Below are 27890 nucleotides of genomic sequence, written 5' to 3'. Positions count from 1 at the left end.
TATGCTCTTGAAGGGAATTATTAAATATACTCATAAATATCAGTTGTGGATTCTTCAGTCCTTCATTTTTATTCTTGAATTGGTCAGATGCCAGCTATGCTGGAGATAAGTGTAAGTAATGTCAGACCCAAGGGTTCAATTTTCTGTTTAATTTTATTAGGTTATCATTTTCATTACATTTGAGAAGAGGCTTTTGCCAGTGTCAAACATAAATAAAAGAGCAAAAGCTTTTCAATTTTCTTAAAACATGACTCAATACAACACAAAATTAGAAGTAACACTAGTCTAAATTTGACTTTGTCACATAATTTTAGTTAATTGAAGTATGGAACATTTTTATCAGAGCCATAATATGTTATCACAATTATGAGACTAGGGCTGTGTATGTCAGTATATATGTGTACATGTGCATATGTACCTTTTTCTGTATTTTATAAATAAGGGATATCAGAAAATATAAGTAGTAACATTGTTAGACCATCTTTCTGAATATAATTAAATTATTATTTACTTTTTAATGGACTTCAAATTTCTATAAGTATATAGTAAATGGTCTTTTTTATTTAAAACATCTAAATTTGTCTCTTAAGCTTTAATATAATCAATTTCCATGTCATATCTCTTCTACTGTAAAAGTGTGAGTTCAAAAATGAATAGAATAAAATATATGTCTTTGGGTCAACATAGAATTTAAAAAGCATTAGGTGTTATATCTAGAAGGAAATAATTTAATATTTAATGTTAAGAATATTTAAAACAAGCTGAAGTAACAAATCTTACTAATTGAACACACGGAATTGAGAAGTCATAATAGTGTCTCAAATTATGAGCTTGTAATAAAGAGATATTTAAATTCAAACTATGCTGTTTATAAACCAATCTATCTTGGGTAAATTATTGATTAATTAAATGTTCTGTTTCTACATACCAGAAGTTAGATAGGTTCTATCTACCAAAAAAGGCTGTTGCAACAAAACAATGTATAAAAATACTTGGCAAATAGAAGATGCTCGCTGAATTTAATGATCTTAAGCTTGCATCCTGTTCCAAATAGGAGCAATACTCACACTTTAATGTATACAGTACATTGGTTTTTACCTGGAATTTTATAGACAAGTTTTCATTACTTCCTTTAAGTAAACACGTTTTAACTAAATTAAACAGTGATATTTCATTAACTATGAATAAAACTGTTTGTTAAGCAAATTAATAAGGTAAATGTAATATTAGAATTATTATATAAGTGAAGAAAATATTAAAATATTAATCATAGTATTCTAGGCTTGGAAGTATCCTTAGAGAGGAATTATCTATCTACTCTATTTTATAGATGAAGAATAATGATAAAATGATTTTTCTAAATTATTTCCCTAAATAATTCTTATGTATTTATGAATTTTGTGTAACTGTAGGTAAATCGTTTTAGCTCTGTGAAACAAAAAGGAAAAAAAAATTTAGAAGACTGCAATGAAGCTCAAAAATGGTACAGTATTTTAATGTGCCCTAAAAAATTTAAGTCACAAAATCAATATATTATTATTATTTAAATGATAGATTCCTCGCTAGGTAAATTCTCCACTTAGTTTAGTATACTAACTGCTTACTTAAACTTGAAAGAAGCATTGTTAAATCTTTGCCAATGCTCTGTATGCTCATGATATAAATAGGTTAAAAATGGCCCCTGATTAGTGCCCCATCATAGGAAAAGTCCTATGATGATAGTTTAAGAGAAAGGATGCAACCTCCTACCCAAATCAATAAATCAAGCCTGCATTTTTTTGAGTATCAGAAAGAATCAGACTGGAAAATACATGACATAAATTTCTTTTCAGTGCATGCGACTCATCACATTACCACCCTTAGAAATCTTCCATAATGTACTTTCTCATCCCTTAGTCTTCGCTAAGTTCCTTTCCAATTTTTTCTATTGATTACTGCTATTAATTACCTATGGCTATTAGTTTCCATTGATATAGTCACTAAATTTAAAAGTAACCTATTTTCATATTTTTCTGTCTCACTAATTGTTAAATTCCATGAAGCAAATGATTATATCATTATCTTTTTGTTCCTCTGATCTGTTACATTTCTTTTTATTGCTTCTTACACTTCTATTTTTCTTTCTTTCTCTTTCTTTCTTTCTTAGCATATGAATGAATGAGATGGTTTTCTTCACTTTTTCCTTTTGAAAATTGATTTGAGTTTCATTAATTAGACTAATTCTATACAAATATTTTTCTAAATTATTTCCCTAAATCATTCTTATGTATTTATGAATTTTGTGTAACTGTAGGTAAATCTTTTTACTGAAATATTCAATTATCAGGCAATTGGGAAAGCACCAGGAGCATGATAGTCAGGGTAAGTGAGTAAGAATTATATCAAAGCACAATAATTTTTAAAGAAAATTAAACTTAATCTGGAATTACAGGTTGACAAATCACGGCTTTCAGTAGAGAGCTTGGTACCAGGCTATGAATTAATATTGACCATAATAAAACAGGGGCAATGAGTTAGCTAAGGAATTCATCTAAAGAAGCAACAGGATAAGCGTAACATGACTTTAAAGAGTAATTGAATCACTATCTAGAAAAATTTATAAGCAGGAACTATAAAGAAAAGTAAATTGTTTTCTTCTGGATTATTACAGCAGTCTTTTAACAAGTCTCCTTGACTGAATTATTTAAAAGCTTTCTCATCTCCTCCTCCAAAGTTAACTTTTCAAAACATGAATCACATAATTTTCTTCTCAGTAAGCTTTTATGACTCACAATTGATTAGAGAATAAAGCCCACTAAAAAACTTTCTACAGCCACCTTTCTAGTTTTGATTCATTGCATATTTTTATCCATAAGATGTGTTCAACATTTTCCTTTCTCTGTACTTCGCTAGTGATGAAATCCAAGCATATTCTAAAACCAAACAACACACTTTTCCTATTTTGTTTTTAAGATTTGTATGTCTGTATGTAAAGAAAACTTAGATAAATATTTTAAAATGTAAATTATATTTTTAATACCCAAAGCTTTTCCATTTATAAAAAGTCAACATTCTAAAAAATGGAGGCATCCTTAGAATCAGCAATATTTCAGTTTTATTGGCCTCTTAGAAGTAAATCAACCACATATATAGAAAATACATAACAGGAAATTTTAATATTAATACACCTATTATTTTTAAATTTTAGGATAGTTTTCACTTGTTTTGTGATATAACCATGCATGTTTCAAATGTTTAAACAAAATCAGTTTCAGAATTCCAAATATTGGGCTATTTTTGTTTAAAAACTTTATATTCCACAGAGATATATTTTTAAATTGAAGTGTGTACGTCACTGTAAGTTGGAGATATCTTTTTTTAATATGTAAAGAGAAATGTTCCAGAATCTGATGATATTTGCATTTGATTTTCACTAACGACCTCATTTTTCACTCCTGCAGGCAAACTCTGGAATACTCCTGTCACTGTGATTCATTGACAGAGACACACTTAATCACATAGTTGTATTAACAATTTTTGTTGCACTTTATACCTTAGTGGTTTTAAGAGGTCAACATTTATCATTCTGCATCTTGTTGGGCAGCACTTCTTGGAAAAAAGCTAAAAATCAAATTGATATCTCAACTTTATTAAGACATGAGAGCACACCGGTAATGTGTAATTGGTCATGCCTGTCTCCCATTTACATTTACCTCTCAGTATTTGCTTCTGTATAACAAATATTTTTGTGTAGATAATTGTGCAGTAGGTATTTTGCAGTTTGCCATAGATGTTGACTTATTTGAAATCATGTTGAGGAAAATGGCTGAAGTCTGAAGATAGCTGAAACCCATTATATGAGAGATGGTTGAAGGAACTAAAGAAGCTGACCTGAGAAAAGGATAACTAAAGGGACGTGAAAATATTTACAAATATTTGAGAACTGGAAATTTGGAAGAGGCACCATATTTTGGCCTGTGAGCACAAATATAACTAGGCAGGTACCTAGGGTGTTTAACCAACCAAGTTGGGAGAGATGCCTCAAACAGGTGCTGAGCTTCGGAGAAACGTATTTTCTCAAAGATCAGAGCTTTCCAAGCTTATATGGCATATGGGTCACCTTAGAGTCCTTTCAAAATGAGGATTCTGCTGTATGTAGTAGGTGGTGGATGGGACCTGAGATTCCAAATATCTAACAAGCTATTAGATTACACCAACTTTGCTGCTCAAGAAAGAACACCTAGATGACTGCCAAGGAGTCACTGCCTTTGTTCAACTGATAATGGTCAGGTGGAAAGGAAAGGAACAAGTGGAGGTACTTCTTGAAGATCAGCACTCTCTGATGATGCTTGCTCAGAAAGAAAGTTCTGTTGAGAAGGCCAGCTTGAGAACTTCCAGGGAAGTTTGAGGCTGCCTAGAGAAATTCACATTCAGGAGACCAGCGGTTTGTTTGATTCTGATTGGTGATACTGGAAGGGTAACTAGAATCAGAATTCATAAAGTTATTTTAAATATTAGCAAAAACTTTTAGTGTATTTTTGAATGTCACTAAAGAAGCTACAATATCTAGGCAAATGTGGAAAACAGTTGTACCTAAAGCATTTAATCAAAGCAAATGAATGCTATAGGTGATCCTAGAAAAACTCAGCTGGCATCAGTATTATGTGGAAAAAATTGATTAAAAAGCAGCTCATAGACAAATTGCACCTGATGACAAACAAATGGCAAGGTTTGCATTTTGGAGAATCTAACAAAATTAATTGATTTCTCCCTCCATGTACATTCACACACTGCTTTTCAGTTATCGATGAACTATATTACTACTTCTCTTGATATTGGAATATATTTCTTAAAGCTAGTCATGGAAACAGAATAGTTAAGAACAATAGATCTGATTATTTATTTTCCTTTATCTACTTGTTACAGTCTGAGTTGTCTCCCAAAATTCACAAGTTGAAATCCTAATACCCAGTACATCAGAATGTGACAGTATTTGAAGATGTGATCTTTAAAGAGGTAGTACATTTTAAGTGAGGTCATATGGATATGCCCTAATCAATATGATTGGCATCTTTTTAAGGAATGGAAGTGAGGATACAGAGAATGCACAAACGGGAACCATGTGAGGACAGTGAGAAGGTGGCCATCTACAAGACGAGATGAGAGGCCTCAGAAGAAAGAAACCAAATCTACAGACACCTTGATCTTCAACTTCTGGCATCCAAAACTGTAAGAAAATTTCTATTTTTTAAGCCACCCAGTCTGTGATATTTTGGCAACCTTAGAAAACAAGTACACTACCCATCACTGCAAAAAATATTTTGGGAAAAACCTAATTTTCATAAGTCTGTGGCTTTCTCTGCTATACTAGTGCAGTGACACCTTATCTAATAAACATACCAAGAGATTTTGAGGGATATAAATATGGAATAACCTATATTTTATTTAATTATAAATCATGATTTATATTTTAATCTTGCTGTGGAACTTTAAGAAATTAAGTATCGGCCCACACCTGGCCAAATGCCCCACATTAGAGGAATGTCAAACATGGAGAGCAGTTTTCAAGGGTTATTCTGAACCTTCCACATGTAATTGTAGAAATAAACAATGTAGAAATACAAATATAATATTTTAATGTTTCCAAAAATATTTTATATATTCTCTATGCACTATCATATAGCTATATAGAAATAGATGGATTATACATCCATATAGGTAGAAAAATAGAGACCATTTTACATGTACTTATAAACATATTTAGACTTAAATATATATAGAAATTATATAAAATAACATTTATTAAGTTCAAATTCTGCCTTTTGCCTTTTTATGGATATCATTATTTGGTTTACATTTTGATATCATTAAATTATTTGGATATTCTATAATATGAGAAATAGATCACTTAAAACTTCAGCAAACGTTTAGCTGATTGACTTCTTCCGTGATTGGCTGTGGTTTAACTTATTGAGTTGTTCCATGATTGGCTGTTGAACCAAACCTCTTATATAAGTGATGCCCAGAGTGGAAAATCAAAATCATTACTCTTCCTTTGAGGCGGAGTTTTCCAAAGTTGACTGGACATTAGAATTACCTGAGAAACTTTTTAAACATTATAATTCTCATGCTATACATCCAGAGATTCTGACTAAGTTGTGCTGGGGTATCAGGAACATCAACATTTTTTTTTAATGTCCTAGGTGATTCTTATAGTCAGACAAGGTAAAAATTTCTTCTCCATAAATCAGTTTTTAGTTTCATAGCACTTTTATGAGCTCAGTTAAGATAGAAACTTATAACATTATTATATCATTTTATTTATCTTGAAGGTCATTTTACTCCCTATGTAAAATCATGTATTTTGCAGGAAATCACGCAGTATTCTTGGAGACTATTGACTGGCATAGAAATTATTTTGTTTAACTACTTAGTTAACATAGTGTTTGTCAATTTATGTATAGAGGTCTGGAGAGTTCAGGGTTATTTTTAAATGAGAGGAATGGCATTACTTAGTATTTGCAGGAACAATAAAACTTTTCAAGTGAAATTAGATTTGTATGGACTGAATCATATTGGACAAGAATTCAAACAGCTCTGGAGAAGTGGAATATTTTTAATTCTATAAAATGAGACAAAGCTAGTCTGGATAGTAATATGGTGACATATTCTAAGTTAAAGCATGGGTTGAATGAAACATATGCTATTTTGTATATAACTTAAAATCAGATGGGAATTGAAGGGATACACTATTTTTAGCTATGATAGATGCCTTACCATATATTTATTTAGGACAGGATGTATGGCCTTGTCTCATGCTTTATCCACGCACACACTGAATAAATAACACTATTGTAGTTCCACCAATCAATCTAAATACTCAAATGACTGAAAGGTGTCACGAAAGAGGCTACTGTTGTTTTTCCTTTCCCTGACTTGGTTGGTTGTTAATTCCCACAGCTGTATAAAAAGAAAAATGTTGCCTATAAATAGAAATAAACAATTTATGGCTTCATGAGAGGTTTCTTTGGAGAAATAAGATTCTTTTTTTTTTCTGTATATTTTCTAACTTTTCCTATCCAAGTAAAATACCCATGACAACTTCAAATTAATCCAAGGAAAAAACTTCTCACAAGTAAAACATCTTTCGTGCATCAGAATTTATGTTGGAAAGCAGAATTTTGGGCAAGTTTATCACATGCAAAATAAAACATTCTGACTTTCACTGTGTTAATTGCTTAAATTAAAATTATTAGTAAGATCAAATCTGAGTATTCTCTGATATTATTAAAGTTTACTTTAATGGAAAACTTCAAAATGCAAATACTGATAACCAGTCAATAGAGGCATGTATTCCTCATTTAAGTTAAATGCGCCTCCATCTTTGTATCTGGATAACTAATGCTTTTAATACAAAAATATATTTAAAAACAAACAGGAAAATTCAACTACAGCTAGCAACTTTACCAATCATACTATAAAGCCTGTTATGTAATTATTATTTAAGCCTTTAGAGTTGCAAAATATAGATTGCCAAGCTGATCCAATATGTCAGATGCTATTAATTTTCTAATGTTTTCTTCTAATACATTTGTTTTTGATGGGAAATATGTATTTTCCTTAGAAGATAAAAGGCAAATGAAAGAAAATACATCACTAAAATTATTATTTTATATCTTTATTTTGGCTATAAATAAATTCTCCATTAAAGCTCTATTATAAGGTTTTATCTTCCTTAAATAATACTTAATATGATTTAGATCTCTCGCACATTGTCTTTTTCTAAAATTGCAAAGGGATATCTTTCAGAGAAAAATTTGAACTGTAATTTACATATAAGTGGTGTCACATTTGGCTTTGTTTTGCAGTAATGGTTCACCTTTAATTGATCAACCAAGTGAGATGATATGTTTCAGCAAGTTTCCTAGTACTATATAACCCAGAATACAATTCGGTGTATGTTTGAGGGTACATAGAGAGGTAGTAAAAAATGTTTCTTTTCCTTAGACTTTTACAAAAACAGAATATGTGCGTGTGCACCCAGGTTGCATTATTGTATTCATGCACTCAGCACACGCATTGAATCATCTTCCAAATATGACACTTCTAGGTATGGTTACCAAATGAGTGAAATGAACGTATTTTTTTAATACAAGGGATTCAAGGAAAATGCAAGGGTTTTAGTTCATTGAATCTTAAATTTATATAAAGCAAGTAATGTGTTGTTTAGTTTCTGAATTTCAATGGGTGTATACTAGACACTTTAAAGTTTTTATATTTATAAAAATTCAATTTACAAAAAAGGTGCAGCTTCAATCTTAATTCAATCAGAATGAATTTGTATTTAAAAGGCAGAGATCGACTGCAATTATAAAGTTGTTCGATGCTCTTAAATCAATTCATGTGCTGATGCTTGGAGTTCAAGCCACATTATTAAAATGTAGTGTCTGACTCTTGAATTTTCCAAAGCAATAAGGGAGATCTCTGAAGGACAACAAAAGAATGGGAAAGGAGCGAGTTTGCCGCTGCTGATGCGGCATCTCCATTCATTTCATTCATTCATTTCATTCACAGCAATCTGTCACATTTTAGTTTCTGTTTCCAGATAGAAATGGGGGATAATACTGGAAATAGTAATGCATAAGTGGACAGGGTCTGACCATTAAAATGTTTACCATTTCCAGAATGATGCCTGCAGATGTTACAAAATTGAAACTGGATAGGTGTTAGAATTGCTGCCGGTTTCTATTCATTTGAATGGCAGCAACCCAGAACACTCTTTTACGGTTTCGTGTGGAGGGTCAATCCATTATCTTTTTTTCCCCTCCCTGAGATCAAATAGCATTTTTGTGAGGATTACATCCCTGTAGTAAGCAGCAATGGAACTAATACTATGAGGTTTGAATGTCAAGCTTATTTCCAAATCCCACTCCTTTACAATTGCAGAGTTGACTTAGAAATTGAAATCCCCATTTTGTAATTGTTTTTTAAAAGTTTTTAATGGAAAACTCTTCTTTCAAAATAAGCATTACAGAATTCATTGGAAATAAAAAGTAGCAGAAGAAAAAATATGTTTTTGTATCATCTGGAATTCTAGCAAGATTGTACGGAGGCCAAATAACTGATATTTACAAACTAGTTTTGTGCAAGTAATTTCGTCAGCAGTTTTTTTGTAAATGAGGAAAATGAAGCATATAAAGGTTAAGTATATTTATTCCAAGATGTACATGCTTAGCCTGCAGTTATAAAACTTAGTGATTTTTGGAGACAATAGTCTATCTGGCTTTGAATGATGCACTTAACATAAAACTTATATAAAAGAGTCATATTTGTTTTAGAAAAAGATAATTTTAATCTATAATAAAAGATGAGTGAATTCCACAGCAAAAACATTGGAGAGTATTATCACCACGTATATTTTAAAATATTACGGAATATTATTTCCAGGAAACTACTCTTATTAACTCCCATTTGAAGAGTAAAATCGGATTGTGAATAAATGGATTCCTGTTTCTCACAAACACTCTCTACTGAAACCTTCTAGAAAGAGTTGTCTGTACTTGCTGGCTTCAACATTCCCTTTCTTCTTTCTAAACTCCACTTGAATCAGGCTTTTATTCCTAGAAATAAGTCAATATTCTTGGCAAGGTTATCAAAAAGCTCCACGTACTGAACTCCGACAGTCAGTTCTCAGTTCTCATCTTACCTCTATTAGTATTTGACTTACTATTCCTTCTCGAAACAAAATCTTCACTTGGCTTTAAGGATATCACAACCTCCTAGTAGATGATACTCTTATCACAGTAACCATTTTTTATTATCATTCTCCATTTGCTAGTTTCTCTTTAGTTTCCCATCATCTAAATCATTGGGTAGTCTGACTAGCATTTCTATCTGCATTTTCTCCTTTGTGATCCTCTTTCATAAGCTTACATACCAACTATATGTTCATAAGACCCCATTAACTTTAGGTTATCTAAAACCTGGTCATCTCTTATTAGATTTGGATATATAACTAAATGCTTGACAATTCCATTTGGAATTCTAAATCAGTAACTCAAATATAACAAGTTGAAAATTTAACCAAAATCTTAATTTCTCCCTCTTTACCACCAATATTGATGATGTCTTCCCCATCACAGATCATAGGTAAAGTAAAACAATAAAAATAAAAAATAAAAAAACAAACAAACAAAAGAAACAGATTACTCCCAGGTATATAGTATAGAGTATGATGTCTAGCAAACAACTCTTACCCCCATTTACAGAGGAAAATCATATTTTTTGTAAATCTGCAAATCATACTAATTTTATGCCTGTCTATAAATTTGTGTAATAAATATTACACTATATTCATATAAAGGAGTGCTAGCGCTATGTCCATGCATATTGACTTGACAGTAGACAAATACAGTTCAAGTCAAAGGCAAATCTCTTAGCCTCCTGTCCTAACCAATTGCTTTTCTTCAATTGCTCTTATAAATAGTATGAAATATGTAAGACTGCTATAAGTATTAACAGCCTCAGAGTTTAATGAATACCTATATTTTTTTCAGGTCTTAAAGAGGAATCAGAAATGAATAAGATCTCATTTAATATAATTAAATGCATTTCTGAACCTTTCCCTATCAGGATAAACAAGAAGTAGGTCTAGCTACTGCCTGTTATCAAGATTTCTAATGACAAAACCGCAGGAGTAAGTCCAAACAAGTTTCTCAATTAGGAACAATGGCACAGAAAGTAAAAACAGCATCAAGTGAAAATAAGATAAATCATGAGGTTGCAGAAGCTGACATACAAATAAAACAGAAGTATTCACTGGTTGGTGGTTTGAGTAAAGTGGAGCACAAAAAACTTTTAGAATGTAAGTTTTGTTAGAGTCGAGTCGTGATTTGTTTTGTCCTCTGCTGTATCCACAGGTCTGAGAAGGATGCCAGACACCTGACAGGCACTCAAGCATTTGATGAATGAACAAAATGTTGTTGTGACCTATTCCAATCCTGAGCATGTGTTTGCACAGTCATTCTAGATTCATTTAGGGGTACTGGTTCCAGAACTAGAATCCAAAGTGAATTATGAGTATAACATCAGGGTTTTGTTTCTCTGTCTCTCTCTCTCTGTTTCTCTCTTTTTCTTTGTCTATTCTGAGGTAGTTGATTGGTCTGCGAAGGGTAAAATATGGCAAAAATGATTTCCATTTGGTGTTTGTAAGTTATTTCAAAGACATAGCAGCTTGAGAATAAAAATTCTTTTTTTCTTTCTCAAGTCTGATGTTCAGCTGTTTAGTGGATGTAACATGAATTTCTTTTGAGTCTCCTTCTTTCATATAATCTTTGAATCTTAAAAAGTATGTCAAGAGTCTCTAAGATTCTAATTTTAAATTGTCTTCAAACATCACACACAAACTGAACATAAGCACTTCTTTAACTAATAGGCAAAATTTGCCAAGGTGTATATTTTTTCCTTGATAACTGCCTGTATAGGCTAGGGCAGGTAATCAAATTCTGATGAGCATTTTCTCCTCAACCAAAAGTAATAAAACAATTACACACTACTTGCCTCCAGATTGTTCCCATTGAACAACATGAGGTGATTTTCCCACCATCTGATGTTTTAAGCATCCATGGATAATTGCTCCATAGGCTTATATTTAAATGATCTTTAGAAGATAACACTTTTTAAGTCTTCTTCCCAGAATGTTATGCAAGTAGCATTTTTACATAATCTGCATAAGAATATAGAGCTTCACTAAAAGTTACTGGACACCAAATGTGATTTAAAACGTTATTAAAAATGTAAGCACAAATTTGACAATAACATATTTTCATGATATTTTCTATTGACTGGACATTTATTTCTTTAGTTTCTAACAAACTCTGTTTTCCTGAGGCTAGGTAGAATGTTTGAAATGTTTACCAAAAGGCACACTAATATTTCATGGGAAACATGCAAATATCTTTATAGAGTTGATAAAAATATTATTTTAGAAGATAGTAGACATTGTCTTTGTTCCCCTAATTTCCTGACTTAAGCCATTGTAAATATGCAATACCCAGAATGAAGTTTATTATCTGAAAATTACATGAGGTATACAATATGTACAAAAAACTTGTAGGCTTCCAATATTTTTATGAATATTTTGCCCACTGTAGTTTGACCCTTTTGTTTCCTTATCTTTAATTGAAAGTTTAAAATTTAAGCCTATGTTGATCTTAAGGCACAACTAGTAATTTATCAAAGCAAAAGTTCTACTAAGTAAAAGTATTTTCATACTTCCATATAAAACCTGTATTGTGCCCTCACAATCATCTTTGTGATTTATCTACTGTGTGTTTACCCTTCAGTCCCATCACTTTCATCTTCTTACTTTGAAAAAAACCGACATTTCTTCAAACTATTCCATTTTCTTTGCAACCCAGAATGGCAATAAAATAAATAAAAAATGAGTACCACACCTATTTATTTAAAATGCATTGAACACTGATAGTGTGCCAAGTAAAGCTTTAAGACCTGGTGATACAGTCATAAACAAAACTAACAAAATCCCTGGCCTCATGAAGCAATGAAGCTTACATTCTCATGGGGTTAATAATAAACATTGAGAAATAATGTCAATTGGGGATCAATGATATTGAAGTAAAGTAAGCAGAATAAAAGAGTAGGGAGTGACTAGGAGTGCTGTTTTGGCCAGAGTGATCTGGAAGTTCTCTGTGCAGGGTGCAACTTTTGAGCAAAGTCCTGCATGAAGTTTGAGAGCTGGCCAAGGATGTACCTGGGGGGAAAATGTTCCCCTAAAGAGCAAATGGAAAACCTTAAGATAGGAATGTGTATAGGTACTAAAGTGCAAGGAAGCCAAGGTAGCTGAAGGAGAAGTGATAAGGATTTACTGAACCTATCATATAGCAAGATAAAGCAACTAAGATAAAATTAACATTGAAGGGCTTATGAAAAGTGAAAATTTACCAAGATGATGTAAAACTACTGCCTGACTTAGAAGTTGCAGATTTGAATATTAAAGATATTAGGCCAAGGATGCAATATGTGATCACTACTAGTAAGTATAAAGAATATATGGATTGGCGTTTGTCTATTTAATATTCCATCTATTTTCTGAATATCACTAATTTATTTTCATGTTATTTGTGCAAAAAAAGTTTAACATGACCATAGAAATAAATGCATACATACATACAAATATAAACATGCATTTGTTTAAATGTTATTTGTGAGTATTTTAACATTCTTTTCCATATATAGCTATTGTATCACACTAGAGTGAATATTTCATTTTATAATACTGCTCTATGGCAAATATTTTTGAAAGATAACAGAGAATTGTTGTCTTTTGTACTTCAGAACAATACCATCAGATGGAAGACATCTGGAGTATATTTTCAAGCTCTATATTACAGATCTCTTAAAAATCAGAAAGTAATTAGGCAAAGGAGATAAAGAAGTAAAAGCATGTTTATTAAAAAAAATTTACCAAGAATATGGAAACATTATAAGAACAATCTGTTCTGTAAAAGAAGTACTACCTTGAAATAATAAACTATAAGAGACTGAATTTTAATGGACTTTTCTTAAATAATGATGATTCTAATGCAAACACTAACTTTGTTTTTCATATAAAATTTTCTAAATTGTTTTACCTAGCCATTTTAAAAAACACGTTAGCAAGTTTTGTGTTTGGGAAATAAAAGAACATACAGAAGAAAAATTACAGTGTATTATTTTTCTCATAAGCAATTTATATTTCACATTTTTCTAATGAAATTAACAGAATCACTTACCTTCTTGAATACTATTTCAGAATCAGCCAGTTTAATTTATGGGTAACACTATTTTAAAAGAAAAATGCTACCTTTAATATTATTTTGTTAATTATAATTTATTTGTTAAATGTCTGGTATGAATGTTTTTAGTGATTTAAACATATTTTTCAGTAACTTGGCAAATGATGGAAAAATCTGTTATTACAAGCATAAATTAGACTTATTTAATCCTTATGTTAAGAAAACTATATGAAATGTTTCTATAGCTGAAAAAAAGTTAATGTTATTAAACTAATTTTAAACCATAACTTCATCAGAAGTGTTCTATACTTTCAATTGCTATGCTATATTACTTGGAATTTTAAGTGAGTTTACTACACAAAAAATGATATAGAGTATATAACTACAGCTAAAGTGTCTTTATAGACCTAGGTAGACATAGAGTTTTAGTATCATAACTTGTTTTATACTTTAGGAGTTAGGGTCTGTATGTTTTATAATAACAAATCCTCTATTGCTGCATGGGGCGGGGCAGCTGTAAGTGAATGGCTATCTTGGTTGAGGATACCTTTCAATAAAAATATGGAAAAAATTAAGGACTATAGATATGAAAAAATAGAGAAACAATATTTGTAACATTTCATCAAGCTTCGTAACACATTAAGGTTTGTTATTTTATAATTTATGTTACCCAAAATAATTACCAGTAAAATCACTGAAATTAAAACTACTAGTGAACTTCTCTCTGAAGAGAAAAAGAAGCTTTTCTTTAGAGATGGACTTCTCATACATGGCATGCATCATGGCTGATTGAAAGTTGAAAGGAAAGAGTTTAAATCCCTGGGCTATGGCAGCAAGAAATTTTTAAAAATATAAATATATATTACAAATACATAAATACACATTATATTGTAAAATGTAAATACATAAATATACAAATATAAATATAGGCTGGGAACTGCTTCTGAGGCTTTCAAAATAGCAGGTATTAATACATCTTTCAAATAGAAGAACAATATAAACAGAAAAAAGAAATTAGACCCAAATGACTAGCTGATATAAAAAAGACTCCCTTCCAAAGCAAGCCATGAATTTAATCATTGTAATAAATCAAAATTACTTTATGAGGAAAAGCTATTTGAATTTCCTCTGACCCTGATGGTGGTCTCATACATGATTAGAAATGAAGTGCCACTGCACTCCAGCTTGGGCAACACAGTGAGACTTGGTCTCAAAAAGAAAAAAAAAAAAGAGAAAGAAAAGAAAAGAAATAAAGGGTCCTGGTCTTTGATGACTTTAATGTATCACTACGAAGACTATAAACTATAAAATACAGATAAAGAATGAAGGAATAACAATTAGAACAAACCATGTCAAGTATAGAAATGGATTATGTTAAACAACTCTTGGATGAAAAGGAAAAAGCACATACCAGAATAAAAAAAATACAATTTATGAGATTTAAAACTGATCAAAGGAGAGGATAATGTATTGCTCTAAGTACTTTTGTCACTAAAAATGAAAGAATGAAAATGAATGTGTCAAATTTTCAGCTCAAAAACCAGAAATAAAGCAAAATGATAAATTAAAAGAAAGCACAAAGAAGGAAATAATAATAAATGAAAAATTAATGTTAGAGAATAGAAAAAGCAAAAAAAAAAGATACATAAAAATCCTGCTTTTTAAACAAACCACTAGTTTATTTTATCAAGAAAAGTGGGAGAATGAGAGAGAGGACATGACAAAGAGAAAATGGCCATTTTAACAGTAAACACAAAAAAAATTATTGAGCTACTTTTCTCTATTCAAATAGATTCAAAAACCTATAAAAATGAGTAATTCGCTAGAAAAAGTTTATCAAAATTAACCTCACAGAATTCTTATATAGTCAAATTTCCGTAGAAAAAAATAAGAGAGTTGTGAGGAAATTACCTCAGAAAAGGACCATTGCAAAATATTTTCACTGGGGAATTGTTTTAAACTTCCAAATGAGGCGGGAGTGTTCCCTGACCCTCTTGTGGGACTTGCGATGGTGGGAGGGATGGCTTGTTTTGCTCACCACTGAGTTCAAACCCCTTGTGGGAGGGAGAGGATACAGGTGAGTGGATGCAGGAGCTGGGGTGAGTGCCCTTAAATGCATTTATGAACCATTCTTGTACTGGCCCACAGCAGTGTCTAGTGGTTGACCGTGACCTCTAGAGCCCCAGAGGGTGTGTGTTTCAAACAATGCCCTTTTAGCAGTGGCAGTCCATAGATGGCTAAGTGTTAACCAGCTCAGTGGAGAGTAAGGGTGATATATACCCTACCCTCTTGGTACCTGGGTTCTTGTCTGGTATCCAGGAAGTATCAGGTCATGGGAATTTGAAGGATGGTGAATGAAGAGGTTTTATTGAGTGATGGTGGTGGCTCTCAGTGGGATAGGGAGCTTGAAAGGGGATGGAGTGGGAAGATAACCTTCCTGAACTCCTCTCTGAATGTCCAGCTGCCTCTTCGACATTCAGGCACTTACTCTCTTTTCTTCTCTGCCACACCACTCTGCTCCTCTGCCAGGGGAGTTTGGGGTTTTTATAGGTAGAGGATGGGGGTGTGGCAGGCCTGGGTGGTTTTGGAAAAAGCAACATTGGGTGGGAAAAATAAAGATGTGGAGTTCTCATTTAGGGCTGTGGGCCCAGGCTTGTGAGTGGGGCCTTTTCCAGGGAACCACCCCCCTCTACCCAGTATTTCCCTGCCTCCTGTCTGTATCACAAACACCAAACAGTCTCAATGCTCCATAAATTGTTCCAGAGCATTGAAAATGAAGAAAATCTATCAATAACTCTTATGAAGCAAATATATTATTAAAGCTCCTAAAAACAGTACCCAAAAAATAAAGCCAGATCATTATTACTTTGCTGTAAAAGTGTTAAATGGAATATTTGCAAACTGAATCCAATGCTACATTAAGAAAGTAATATATGAAAACCAACCAGCATTTATTCCATGAATTCAAGGCTGATTCAATATTAGGAAAATCATCAATATAATTCACTAGATTATTAGATGTAATCATGTTACTATTTCTATATATGATGGAAAAGCCTTCAGCAAAATTTAACATCCAATTCTGATTTTAAAAAAAAACTCAAAAATTTATTTATTCTTGACAATGTATTTATCTATATTTATATATAATTATCTATTATCTGTCTATCTATCTTAGTTTTCAAGACAGCATCTTACTTAGAGGAAAATATCAGAGGAATTTACATTAAATTCAGGAATAGGGCAAAATGCCTACTACCTTTTCTACTATTTCACATTGTACTATTATACTGGAAATAGATCTATTTCAGTTTGCAGATGAGATGATAATAGAGATGAAAGTTCCTAAAGAATAAATTAAAAATTACTTTTAAACAAAGAAAAATTTCAATAAGTTATAAAGTTGAAAGAAGAAAGGAAAGCATTTTAAATCTCCGGGCTATGGCAGGGATTTATAGAACAAACATACTGAAATCAAATTGTCTTCGTATAAAAAAAAAACTGCCCATTAGAATATAAAGAAGTCAATTACAGTGGCAATAAAAGTTAAGTACTGAAGAATATACTTAATACTAAATGTAGAAAGCGTAAATGAGGAAACACTTTTTAAAAACCCTGAAAGACACAAAAGTAAGTTTGAATCAATGAAAAGGATCCATACTCTCGATTAGGACAACTCACATGCATAATGACCTCAGTCTTCTCTATGTTAACATAGAAAGTTAAAATAATACTACCCCAAAACACAAACACACATTTTTTTTCTTATATCACTGCACAGGTTAATACCAAAAGTAATATGGAAAAATGAGAAAATAAGCATGTAAAAATTACCAGAAAAATTTAGGGGTCAGACTTACCAGATATTAGAAGCCTCTATACTAGACTAACAGTTTATGGAAATGCAATAGAAAATCCAGAAACAGATCCAAATATACAAGTAAATACGCTATATGATAAAGGTGACATATCTAATCACTATTCACTATTGCATCATTTCATAGGCAGCAACCCCTCCCACCTTTTTATTTTTTTTTTTGAGACAGGATATTGCTCTGTCACCTAGGCTGGAGTGCAATGGTATAATCATAGCTCTCTCTAATCCCAAATTCCTGGGCTCAGGCAATCCTTTTGTCTCAGCCTCCCAAGTAGCTAGGACTACAGGTATGCCACCAGACTTGGTTAATTTTTAAAATTATTTTAGAGATGGGGTCTCGCTATGTTGCCTCGGCTGGTCTCCAACTCCTTGCCTCAAGTCATCCTATCGCAGCTTTCTGAGTTGCTGCAATTACAGGCATAAGCCACTGCACCTGGTCCCAAAGACAGCCTTTTTAATGAATAGTGCTGAGACTTTGGTTAGCCATTTGAAAAAATATAAAAGCAATTCCTTATATCAACTGTGTGAAGGAATGTATTTCAAATGGATCAGGAATCTAAATGTTTAAAAAAAATGAAACTATTAAAGTATTAGTATATAACATGTTTGAATTATTCTATAAACTGAGTATAAAATCACAAGACACCAAACAATTAAGGAGATTATTTATTCAGGCAATTGTAACAGAAAAAACATTAAATAATGAGGAACATCTCAAATAACTGGATTTTATAGAAGCAAGCAATCAAGAGAGTCATTCAGGAGACTTATGGGAGTCATGCAGAACCGTTGGGATGAGTATGTCTTATCTGAGTCATTAAGAAAAGGTGGAGTTGGGCCTTATCACTGAATACCTGAGAACGGAGTAATCCTTTCTGGTTATCAAGTTCTGGGAAAACAAAACAGTGTGGAAACTTCTCACCCTTCTCTTTTCTTGCTGCAGAGGGCTCAATTGATTTCAATATTGTCATGAGTCTAAGACTACAATAGTCTACCCCCTTATTTATGAAGGGTATGTTCCAAGATCCGTAGTGGATGCCTACAACCATTCAGCACAAACTCTCTGCAATTATCCCAGGTTATACACAGGGGCATGGTTCCAGAATCCCCATGTATACCAAAATCCTGGCATAATACAGTCTGCGCTCAGCCCTATGGAACCCACATATAAAGAAAAGTCAACCTTCCTGATATGAGGGATTTTGCATCTGAGGAATACTGTATTTTCAATTCAAGTTTGGCTGGAGAAAAAAAAATGTATAAGTGCATTTGTGTATTGTTCAAAGGATAACTGTAGATATTATGTTTTTTCCTATACATACAAACCTGTGATAAAGTTTGATTTATAAATAGGCACAGTAAGACATTAACAATAATAATAAAATAGAACAATTATAAATGTATACTGTAAAAACTACTCTATATGATATTATAATGGTAGCTAAGTGTCATTATTTGTCTAAACCCCAGAATGTAAAACACTAATAGTAAATCCTAATGTAAACTGTGGACTTTGGGTGATAATGATGTGTGGATGTAGTTCATCAATTGCAACGCATATAGCACTCTGGTGGAGGATCTCAATAATGAGGGAGCTGGGTGCGTGAGCGTAGGAAGTCTATGGGAAATTGTAACTTCTGTTCAATATTGCTTTAAAAATAAATACTATTAAAAAAGAACTAAAAAATTGAAAGAATAGTCTAAAATCTCATAGAAAATAAATAATAAAAATTTATAAAACATTTACAAAAATTGCTTAGTGAAACAAACTTTAGTTACTATTAGCAATAAAATATTCTTTCAATCAGCAGTTGCTGAAACTTACTTTTTCTTTGTTACTACAACATTTAGTTTATATAAACCTGCTGACTTTAGTTCCTTTCCTCATCTTTTAAAGCAAGAAGATAGACAAAAAATTGCTAAAATCACTTATATACATTATTACACCTCTCTCCAAATAACTGAAATTACTTTTAAAATACATTTCTTCACCAGTCTGTGAGCCATTCAAGGTCAGGTGCTAGTTCTATTTTTTATTGTTTATCAAGCCTATGTAATAAAGATTTGTGGACATAATGAATATAATGATCATAATAATGATCATCTCAATCTGTGCTCCTATAACAAAATATCTGAAATGAGGTAATTTATAAAGACCAGAAATTTACTTTTTCACAGTTCTGGAGCCTGGGAAGCCCCATATCAAGGTGCCAGCAGGTTTTGTGTCTGGTGAGAACTTGGTCTTTACTACCAAGTTGGTACTTTGACCTCACATGAAGGAAGAGCAGAAAACAAACCCACTCCCTCATGCCCTTTTATAAAGGCCCTAATCCCATCCACTAGAGCTCACCCTTATACTTAATCATGTTCTAAAGGGACCACCTTTTAATACTTTCACATTGGTAATTAAGTTTCAACACATGAATTTTGGAGGCCACATTCACACCATAGCAATGATATTAAGAGAACAAATGGATAATGAGGGAATGTATATCATGGAGTAACTTTGTAATTTACTTAATTACAAACTTGACTAGAAAGTATCAATGGAAGAAAAACTTTTCCTCTACCAGCTTAGGTCCCAGTAGTAGAGGTGCTTTTGAACCATTCCCTTGGAGATACCTGGAGTTTGAGGAAAAATTGAAACTGGAGATATAAATTTCTATAAATTTAGTTGGAGGCCACATGATTTTAAAACTATGAATCTTGAGTATAACTGGAGAGGAGGGCTCTAAGGAGTAAACCCCAGAATATTCTAATTTTTAGGATACAGGGAGATGAGGAGGATATAACAATGGGAGACAGAAGGGGAGATCGGTGAGGTAAGAGGAGCAACAGAAATCTGTCAGAGAAAAAGAGGCCTGAGCTCTTAGGTGGTCAGGTGGTCAGTTAAGACAAGAAGCCAAACTGAAAAGAACAGTCAGGCTTTATACACTTCCTCAGGTAGTATAATCAACACCCAAAGCAGGAAAAGCTGCCAGTTTTCCCAGCATTTTCTATTTTTCCCTGTGGAATGGTACTAGATGTATTAACGTAGAATGTATGTCCCATTGCCATAGAAGCCTTGCTCTAAAGATTTATGATGTTTTATAGACCGAGAGGCCAGAGGGAAAAGGCCAGGAGGAAGGAAGAAGGGAGATAAATAGGAATGAGAAAGTGCTGAGAGTAGAGAATAGTGCCTTCAAAGTCCCTTGATGAGGAAGTCTCTGTAGAGGTAACCAAGAAAGGACTTGGGTAAGGACTTCACATATAGAGGGCCTCTGGATGGAAGCACCTGAGCTTGGAATGCAGCTATATACAGGAACATTGCCAGTGCAGGTGGGCTTGAGTCCTTGTCTGTGACTCCCTCCAGAGACTGCATTGCACTGGTCTGCAGCACAACTGGTGTTAGGCGGGCAGCTTTACCCTGTGAGATCTGCCATGTAAAACCTTTATAATTGCCCTATGGCTGGGTGTGCAAGTTTATATATAGGATTTTGACCTGCAATAGGACTCTCCAAAAGTGATGTCCCAGAAGCCAAATAGTGAGTGACCAAAGGAGTCAAATACTTTTGAGAACTCAGTAAAAGAAGAACTGAAAATGAATACAAGACTTTCAAGCTATAGTTTACTGAGAATGATGATTTCCAATTTCATCCATGTCCCTACAAAGGACATGAACTCATCATTTTTTATGGCTGCATAGTATTCCATGGTGTATATGTGCCACATTTTCTTAATCCAGTCTATCATTGTTGGACATTTGGGTTGGTTCCAAGTCTTTGCTACTGTGAATAATGCCGCAATAAACATACGTGTGCATGTGTCTTTATAGCAGCATGATTTATAGTCCTTTGGGTATCAGTAAACTATCGCAAGAACAAAAAACCAAACACTGCATATTCTCACTCATAGGTGGGAATTGAAGAATGAGATCACATGGACACAGGAAGGGGAACATCACACTCTGGGGACTGTTGTGGGGTGGGGGGAAGGGGGAGGGATAGCATTGGGAGATATTCCTAATGCTAGATGATGAGTTAGTGGGTGCAGCGCACCAGCATGGCACATGTATACATATGTAACTAACCTGCACAATGTGCACATGTACCCTAAATCTTAAAGTATAATAATAAAAGAAAAAAAAACAAATAAAACAAAAACAAACAAACAAAGAAAAAGAAATAAATAGAATACCCTATCATCCAGAAAAAAAAAAAAAAAAGACTTTCAAGCTTTGCTCTGCAGAATCGTAGGATTCCTGGAGGTGCCACATAGGTCCCTGTGACGGTGGAGCGGGAGGGTGGCATGGCCAAAAATATTCTGGAACTATCTCCCTGCTACAATAAGATCTGCTCTACTTTTATCTTTTGGGTTCCATATGAGATTTCTTTTGAAAAAGAGGGTTCCACTTCTTTTGATAAAAAAAAAAATTGAAAAGTGTTGTGTATCTTCTACTATTAAGAAAGGAAAAGAGCAGAGAGACAGACCATCCCTGTGGTCCAGACTCTCAAGGACAGCTTAAATCTGAGAGTAAATAGAGAGTAGATGATGCATCCATTTAACCAAAGTGCTGCCTTTAGGGGAGTGACAATGCAAGCCACTGAGTAAGAAAGAATAGCTGCAAAATAGAACATTGACAACTCAGAACTGGATTATATAGAAAATATTTGCAAATAAATAAGGAGTAGATAGACAATCCAAATAAGAAGGAGAGTAAATATTTACTTTTCAAAATCACCAATAAGTTCAAAAATTGGAAGAAAAAAAAAACCCAACTTCTTACATTACCAGGAAAATGCCAAAGAAAAAAGAACCCCCCAGTGAAATGCTACTGTTTATTCAAGGATTCATGACACTGTAAAAAAGACCAATAATATTTTAGACAGTTTGTACAGATTCAGGAAAATCACTATTGTTAGAAGTGATTACAATTATTACTATTATTACAATCAGTTGGAAGAAATTTTTCACAATGAGTTTTATAGCAGAACATATTTATACCCTATGACACAGAAATTCCGTACTTACATATCTACCAGAAAAGCAGATATCTGTGCACCAAAAGAAATGTACGTGAATGCTCAAAGCACAATTATTCACAATAGTCCCAAACTGAAAAGAACACATATGCATATCAAAAGTAGAACAAATAGTTGTATATACATACAACAGAGTGGTATACAGCAATGAAAATAAACATATGAAACAACATTGTAGACTCCCACAAACATAACTTTGAATGGAAAGATTCAAATGCAAAACAAAGCATGCCACATGGTTTCATCTACATAGAGTTAAACAAAAGCAAAAACAACATATGGTGTTAGAAGTATGAATAGTGGTTTCCTCTTGGAGGGGAGAACGATAGTGACTGAGATAGGACACAGATTTCTACAGTAGTTCTTGATTTTGTTATTTTTTATATAGTGTGTTTTCTTTGTGATAATTAAGCAAGATGTGCACTTAGGATTTGTGACTTTGCGTTAGTGCGTGTGTGTTTGTGTATTATGTGTGTATATTTTATAAATTTATAATACAGAATGTATAATATGTCACATATGTTTACATAGATTTGTATATGTACATGTGTATTTTATGTACATGTACATATGATATATATATGTATTTTATGTACATGCACATATGATATGTACATACATACTCCAACTTTTTAAAGTTTATAAAATTTATAAAAGTTTATGAAAACAGTGATAGAGACAGGAGGCAGCCAAGGGCCCCTGGGAAACCCCACTTTCAAGCCTAAAACAGCCTGAAGGTTAAAAGAATGGACTGCTGGTCCCACATGAAGCTCAACCTTTCTCAACTGATTCTTCGTGAATAATGTCCACCTGCTCACTAGGAGGAGCGGGTGGAGCCTCAGGAAATTCGCACCATTTGCAGGAGGGAGGAGCCTGGCCTCTGCTGTTCCTGTGTGGGGACTTGGTATTCAATCTATGAGGTAGAAGTCATTGGCAAGACCCCCTTTCCCTTTGCTGAGGGTTTTCCTTTCTTTTTCCTTTTCATCAAATAAATTCAATTTTCCTCACCCTTCCATGTGTTTGTGAGCCTAATCTTTCCCTGTCTTGTGATGAGATTCTGATTTTAGCTGAATTATGGAGAAAGTTTGGCAACAACAGTACACTGTGGCTAGAAAAATGAAGGGCTCAGAGACATTGAACAAAAAAAATGTGTTGAAAAGACAGGATATTAAAGTGTATTACTTCAGTCTTCTTCCCTTTCTCTGATCTTTCCTTCTGAGACTTCTCTTTTCTTTCCTTTTATTCCATTGCATTTGCATTTCTTTTTCTTTCTTCCTTTCTTTTTCTGTAAGATGTAACTGGCAACCTGAACATATTTTAGTAGATCCATCTCCTTTGAAGATAAATTGCATATAATGTCACTTCTAAGATAATTTGGTATTTTCTAAATAATCTTTTTTTTAAAAAAAAATCCATCAATTTGCTACATAATTTAAAACATCAAAATTCCGATGCTTGAAATAATTAAAATAAAAATATCAGATCAAATAAAGTAGGAAACTCATAGAGAACACTCCTTGTTGTATGTATCAAGTGATTATATTAAGATGACAGAAGTAGCCAGGTGAGGTGGCTGACATCTGTAACCCAGCACCCTGGGAGTCTGAGGAGGGAGGATTGCTTGAAGCCAGGAGTTTGATACCAGCCTGGGAAACATCGGGAGACCTCTTCTCTACAATCTTTTAAAATTAGCTAGGCATGGTGCTGTGAGCCTGTAGTCCTAGCTACTTGGGAAACTGAGGCAGGATAATCCCTTGGGCCCAGGAGTTTGAGGCTACAGCGAGCTCTGATAATGTTACTGCACTGTAGCCTGGACAGCAGAGCAAGACCCTGTCTCAAAAAAATAAAAATTACACAAGTAACATTAGACACAAAATTAATTCTAGTGTTCTTATGATTTCACAAAATAAAAGCCATTTAAATAAAAATAAGAAATGACAAGAACATTTTTCCCTAAGAATCACACTTTAATAAATGTACATGAATAAATTTAGAATGGGAAATATTACATATAATATCTTAATTTTATAATGTATCACATATACCTGTGTTTTTGATATAAGCTTTTCGATTTGGAAACATACATTTGCCTTTCAGCATAAAGTGGTCTAGAATGTATGTATTATTCTGATGATGCTTTTAGACCTGTTGTCAAAAAGTGTTTTACATAGGTTTATTGATAAATTTAGAACAGTGATCTGAATGCTTTTTAGCACAATTAGGAATGTTCTGAATGAATTAATACTAGCCAAAGTACAACTTCACTTTGGCCACTTTAATCTTCCATAGCTTTCACCTGATACAATCAGAATGAATGCAGATTGTTGCATATCAGGTATGTGGCTAGAGACAGCTGCGGAAACCTGCCTTCAGGAATGTCCCTGCCTGGTTTCTGTCACACGTTGTTCAGTACATTTATAGGACAGTATATCACATTTAAAAATGTATCTGAGAGGAATGTGAGAATCAATCAGGATATATCCCTCTTGGTATTTTTTTTTTGGCAAGTTGCTTTGACCATTGTTTTGGAAACAATGCCATGATATGTTTAAAATATAATCCAATCCTCGATCAGTAAAGCTGGCAGTCAAGAAATGTTATTTATAAGGAGACATATAGGTTACAGCTTATAACAAAATGTCAAAGGAAAGTGGAGGATAAACAGAGGAACCAATTTCATCTTCCAATTCAGAGACTCAATGTAAACCATCCAGAATGTATATTACAGAAAGGCAGGCATGTTAATTTAGGAGGCTTTATTTTTTCTTCAAATAGTAGGTTCTTAACAATTATCTGCTGAATGAATGAATGAAAATTGAAATTAGAAAGAGTTGGAAATTGAATCAAGTCAATTCTACTGCTGTGTCCCATTGTCACACTGTGAGGTGAAAGAGTAGTATAATCTATGGTGATGGTCATGCTAACCCCAGTGCTCATGCAGTACAGAGAAGGGCTTCCAAAGTTATTTCCGAAGTTAGATCACACTCACAGTCTCAGCCAGCTTCCAGCTAGGCTCTGGAAAATATCGATCATGTTGCCGTAACAAAGACAAATTTTTGGATAGACTATTTTACACTTTGAGGGATAATTTTTTTTTTCAGTAGGATCTTATCAAATAATGTATGGGACTTTTTGAAAATATTAACAGGAAAAATATGCTAATGATGTAAGGTTGAGGAGAGAATGAAATAGAGAGATGGGCCCAATATAAATCAGAATACACTGAGAAGTACCTCAATTCTCAGCAAGGAGACTCTCCATATGAGATCATCGATTATGCTTATTTTGTTCTTCTTAGTTTTTATATTTACACAATTTTCTATAATAAACTTTTTTCAATTATAAAAATTTTAAAAACATTAAAAAATTAACTTTTTAATAGACATAATAAGAACATGATAGCTTTCATCCTAGTAACGAATCTCAAGACAATACTTCAACTGTTAGAACAGAGAATACAAACAAATTATCCCTATGGAATAGCTGACCTTTACTAACCTTTTGATTTCTCTGAGCCTGAGACTAACACTGGCCTACATGTCTGACTCCCATCTTTATACCCCAAATCCTGTAAAAACCAAGTAATCTTTTTTTTCAAAAAAGAAAACAACCACAGATATGTACACACAGATACAGAAATAAAAACAAAGCTAACAAGTTTTAAAAGAGACTAGAAGATGAATGAGATTTTAGGACTATTAAAAGCTGTTTTTAATAACCTCCTTAAAATGAAAAATAATGTAATAAGACATCCCTTTTATTCTTTTTGAATCATGTCAGAAAGTCTTTGTCTTATGCTTATTTGCTGAAGTGAATGATGCCGCTGAACCTCGTTAGATCACTTTGTCTTTATTTCCTCTTCCAGAACATGTCATTTCACTTTTCTTGGAGCTGATCAACATCCATCACACATTTTCTTTCAAGCTGACAATATACACAGGGAGTTTTGAATTTTGTGAACTCTTCTATTATTATTAAGTGTTGTCAATTGTCAGCATCCATATTCTATTCCGATGATGAATAGAAGCATTATATTTCAGCATCAAAATGCAGTTGGGGTCGTAATGAGCATCATTAGGGACCTTAATGGGAGTCAGAACTGTATGTCATTTTATTCAGGTTTTTCTAAGTTTATTTGTGTTTTTTTGGTTAGTTGGTTTTTCTTTTTTCTTTTTTTTACATTTTTCTACCAAGCAGGTGAGAGTAGAACAGCATTGTGATTTTAAAAGTACACCATTTGTAGAGTCTTCCAGTACCGTTGGCTATGCAGGATTTTCACAGCAGGTTTGAACCCAATCTGGTGCCTTGAACATCCCCAGGCACTGATAAAAGTATTTAGGCTGCTGCCAAAAAAGGCCTCAGTCCTGAGCCAGATTCCTTAAACTCTCAAATAAACTCCATAATCTTACTTCATTGCTGTGGACATACTTAGGAAGAACATCCCTCTTCTCTTACTGCCTCTGGTGAGAATTCCTGCAGCCCACTCTTTATGCAACTTCCTCTAATAAATGCTTTGGACTGACCACTCTGATGTTTAGTGCTTCTTTCTTTGGAACCTCAACTAGCCCCATCTTGGCTAATTTGGGGCACTCTTGTGGAAATTCCTCTGCAGCTGCTTTCGGGGCAACTCCAGCCACAGGTTTGGCTGGACTAAACCCCATTCCACCACATCTATTCACAAAACATCTGTTTCTATTTCTATCTAGTTGATTGAGTTTTAATGAAGACTTCAACAGCCATTAAATGTATAGTAACAGTCCTTCTTAATACCTACTTTTACTTTCAAATCTTCCTTGTAAATTCAGTTTGAGGCTTTACTGAACATACATTTTAAAATATGTATTGGATAACTATATGCTTAAATTTGAATATATTAGATGTCTATAATAGAAATAAAAAAATTGCTTTGGAGTCTGACTCATAAAATAAGTGATCCCTTGATTTTGCCTTAGAACTTAGCATACATGTCTGTTTGCAGAAGTTGTCAGTTACATGGTCAATATGATACACTGTGTGTTAGTGACAACAGACATCCCTATGGAACCTTCTTGGTGTGTGTTAGTAATCCATAGTTCTATGTAGATTAAACATAGACTAATTTTCATAACCTAAAATCACCTTTTTTGACTTCTACAAATTGAGACAATTCTAAAGGGAAACATAACTTTTCAGAATTTAATTTTTATTATTTTGTTGTGTCACTTCCTATAATTTTTA

At 33.1% G+C, this 27890-nt stretch overlaps 1 protein-coding gene across 9 annotated transcripts in view; it reads left to right on the top strand.

The window, feature by feature from the left end:
* PABPC4L (poly(A) binding protein cytoplasmic 4 like) overlaps positions 1-27890 on the top strand; it is a 253443-nt gene that overhangs the window by 93325 nt on the left and 132228 nt on the right. For 7 of the 9 annotated variants that reach the window (XR_001741133.2, XR_007096357.1, XR_001741139.2 and 4 more), the window contains one exon: positions 5060-5208. The gene's annotated coding sequence lies outside the window, so the exon portion shown is untranslated. Of the gene's footprint in view, positions 1-5059; positions 5209-10898; positions 13146-13335; positions 13741-27890 lie in introns of those variants that run through there. The other 2 variants (XR_001741138.2, XR_001741137.2) reach the window with 2 other exon arrangements.

This window comes from Homo sapiens, chromosome 4 (genome assembly GCF_000001405.40).
Source record: "Homo sapiens chromosome 4, GRCh38.p14 Primary Assembly".
In the NCBI taxonomy this organism is placed as follows: domain Eukaryota; kingdom Metazoa; phylum Chordata; class Mammalia; order Primates; family Hominidae; genus Homo; species Homo sapiens.
This window is presented reverse-complemented; position numbering and strand designations above follow the sequence as displayed.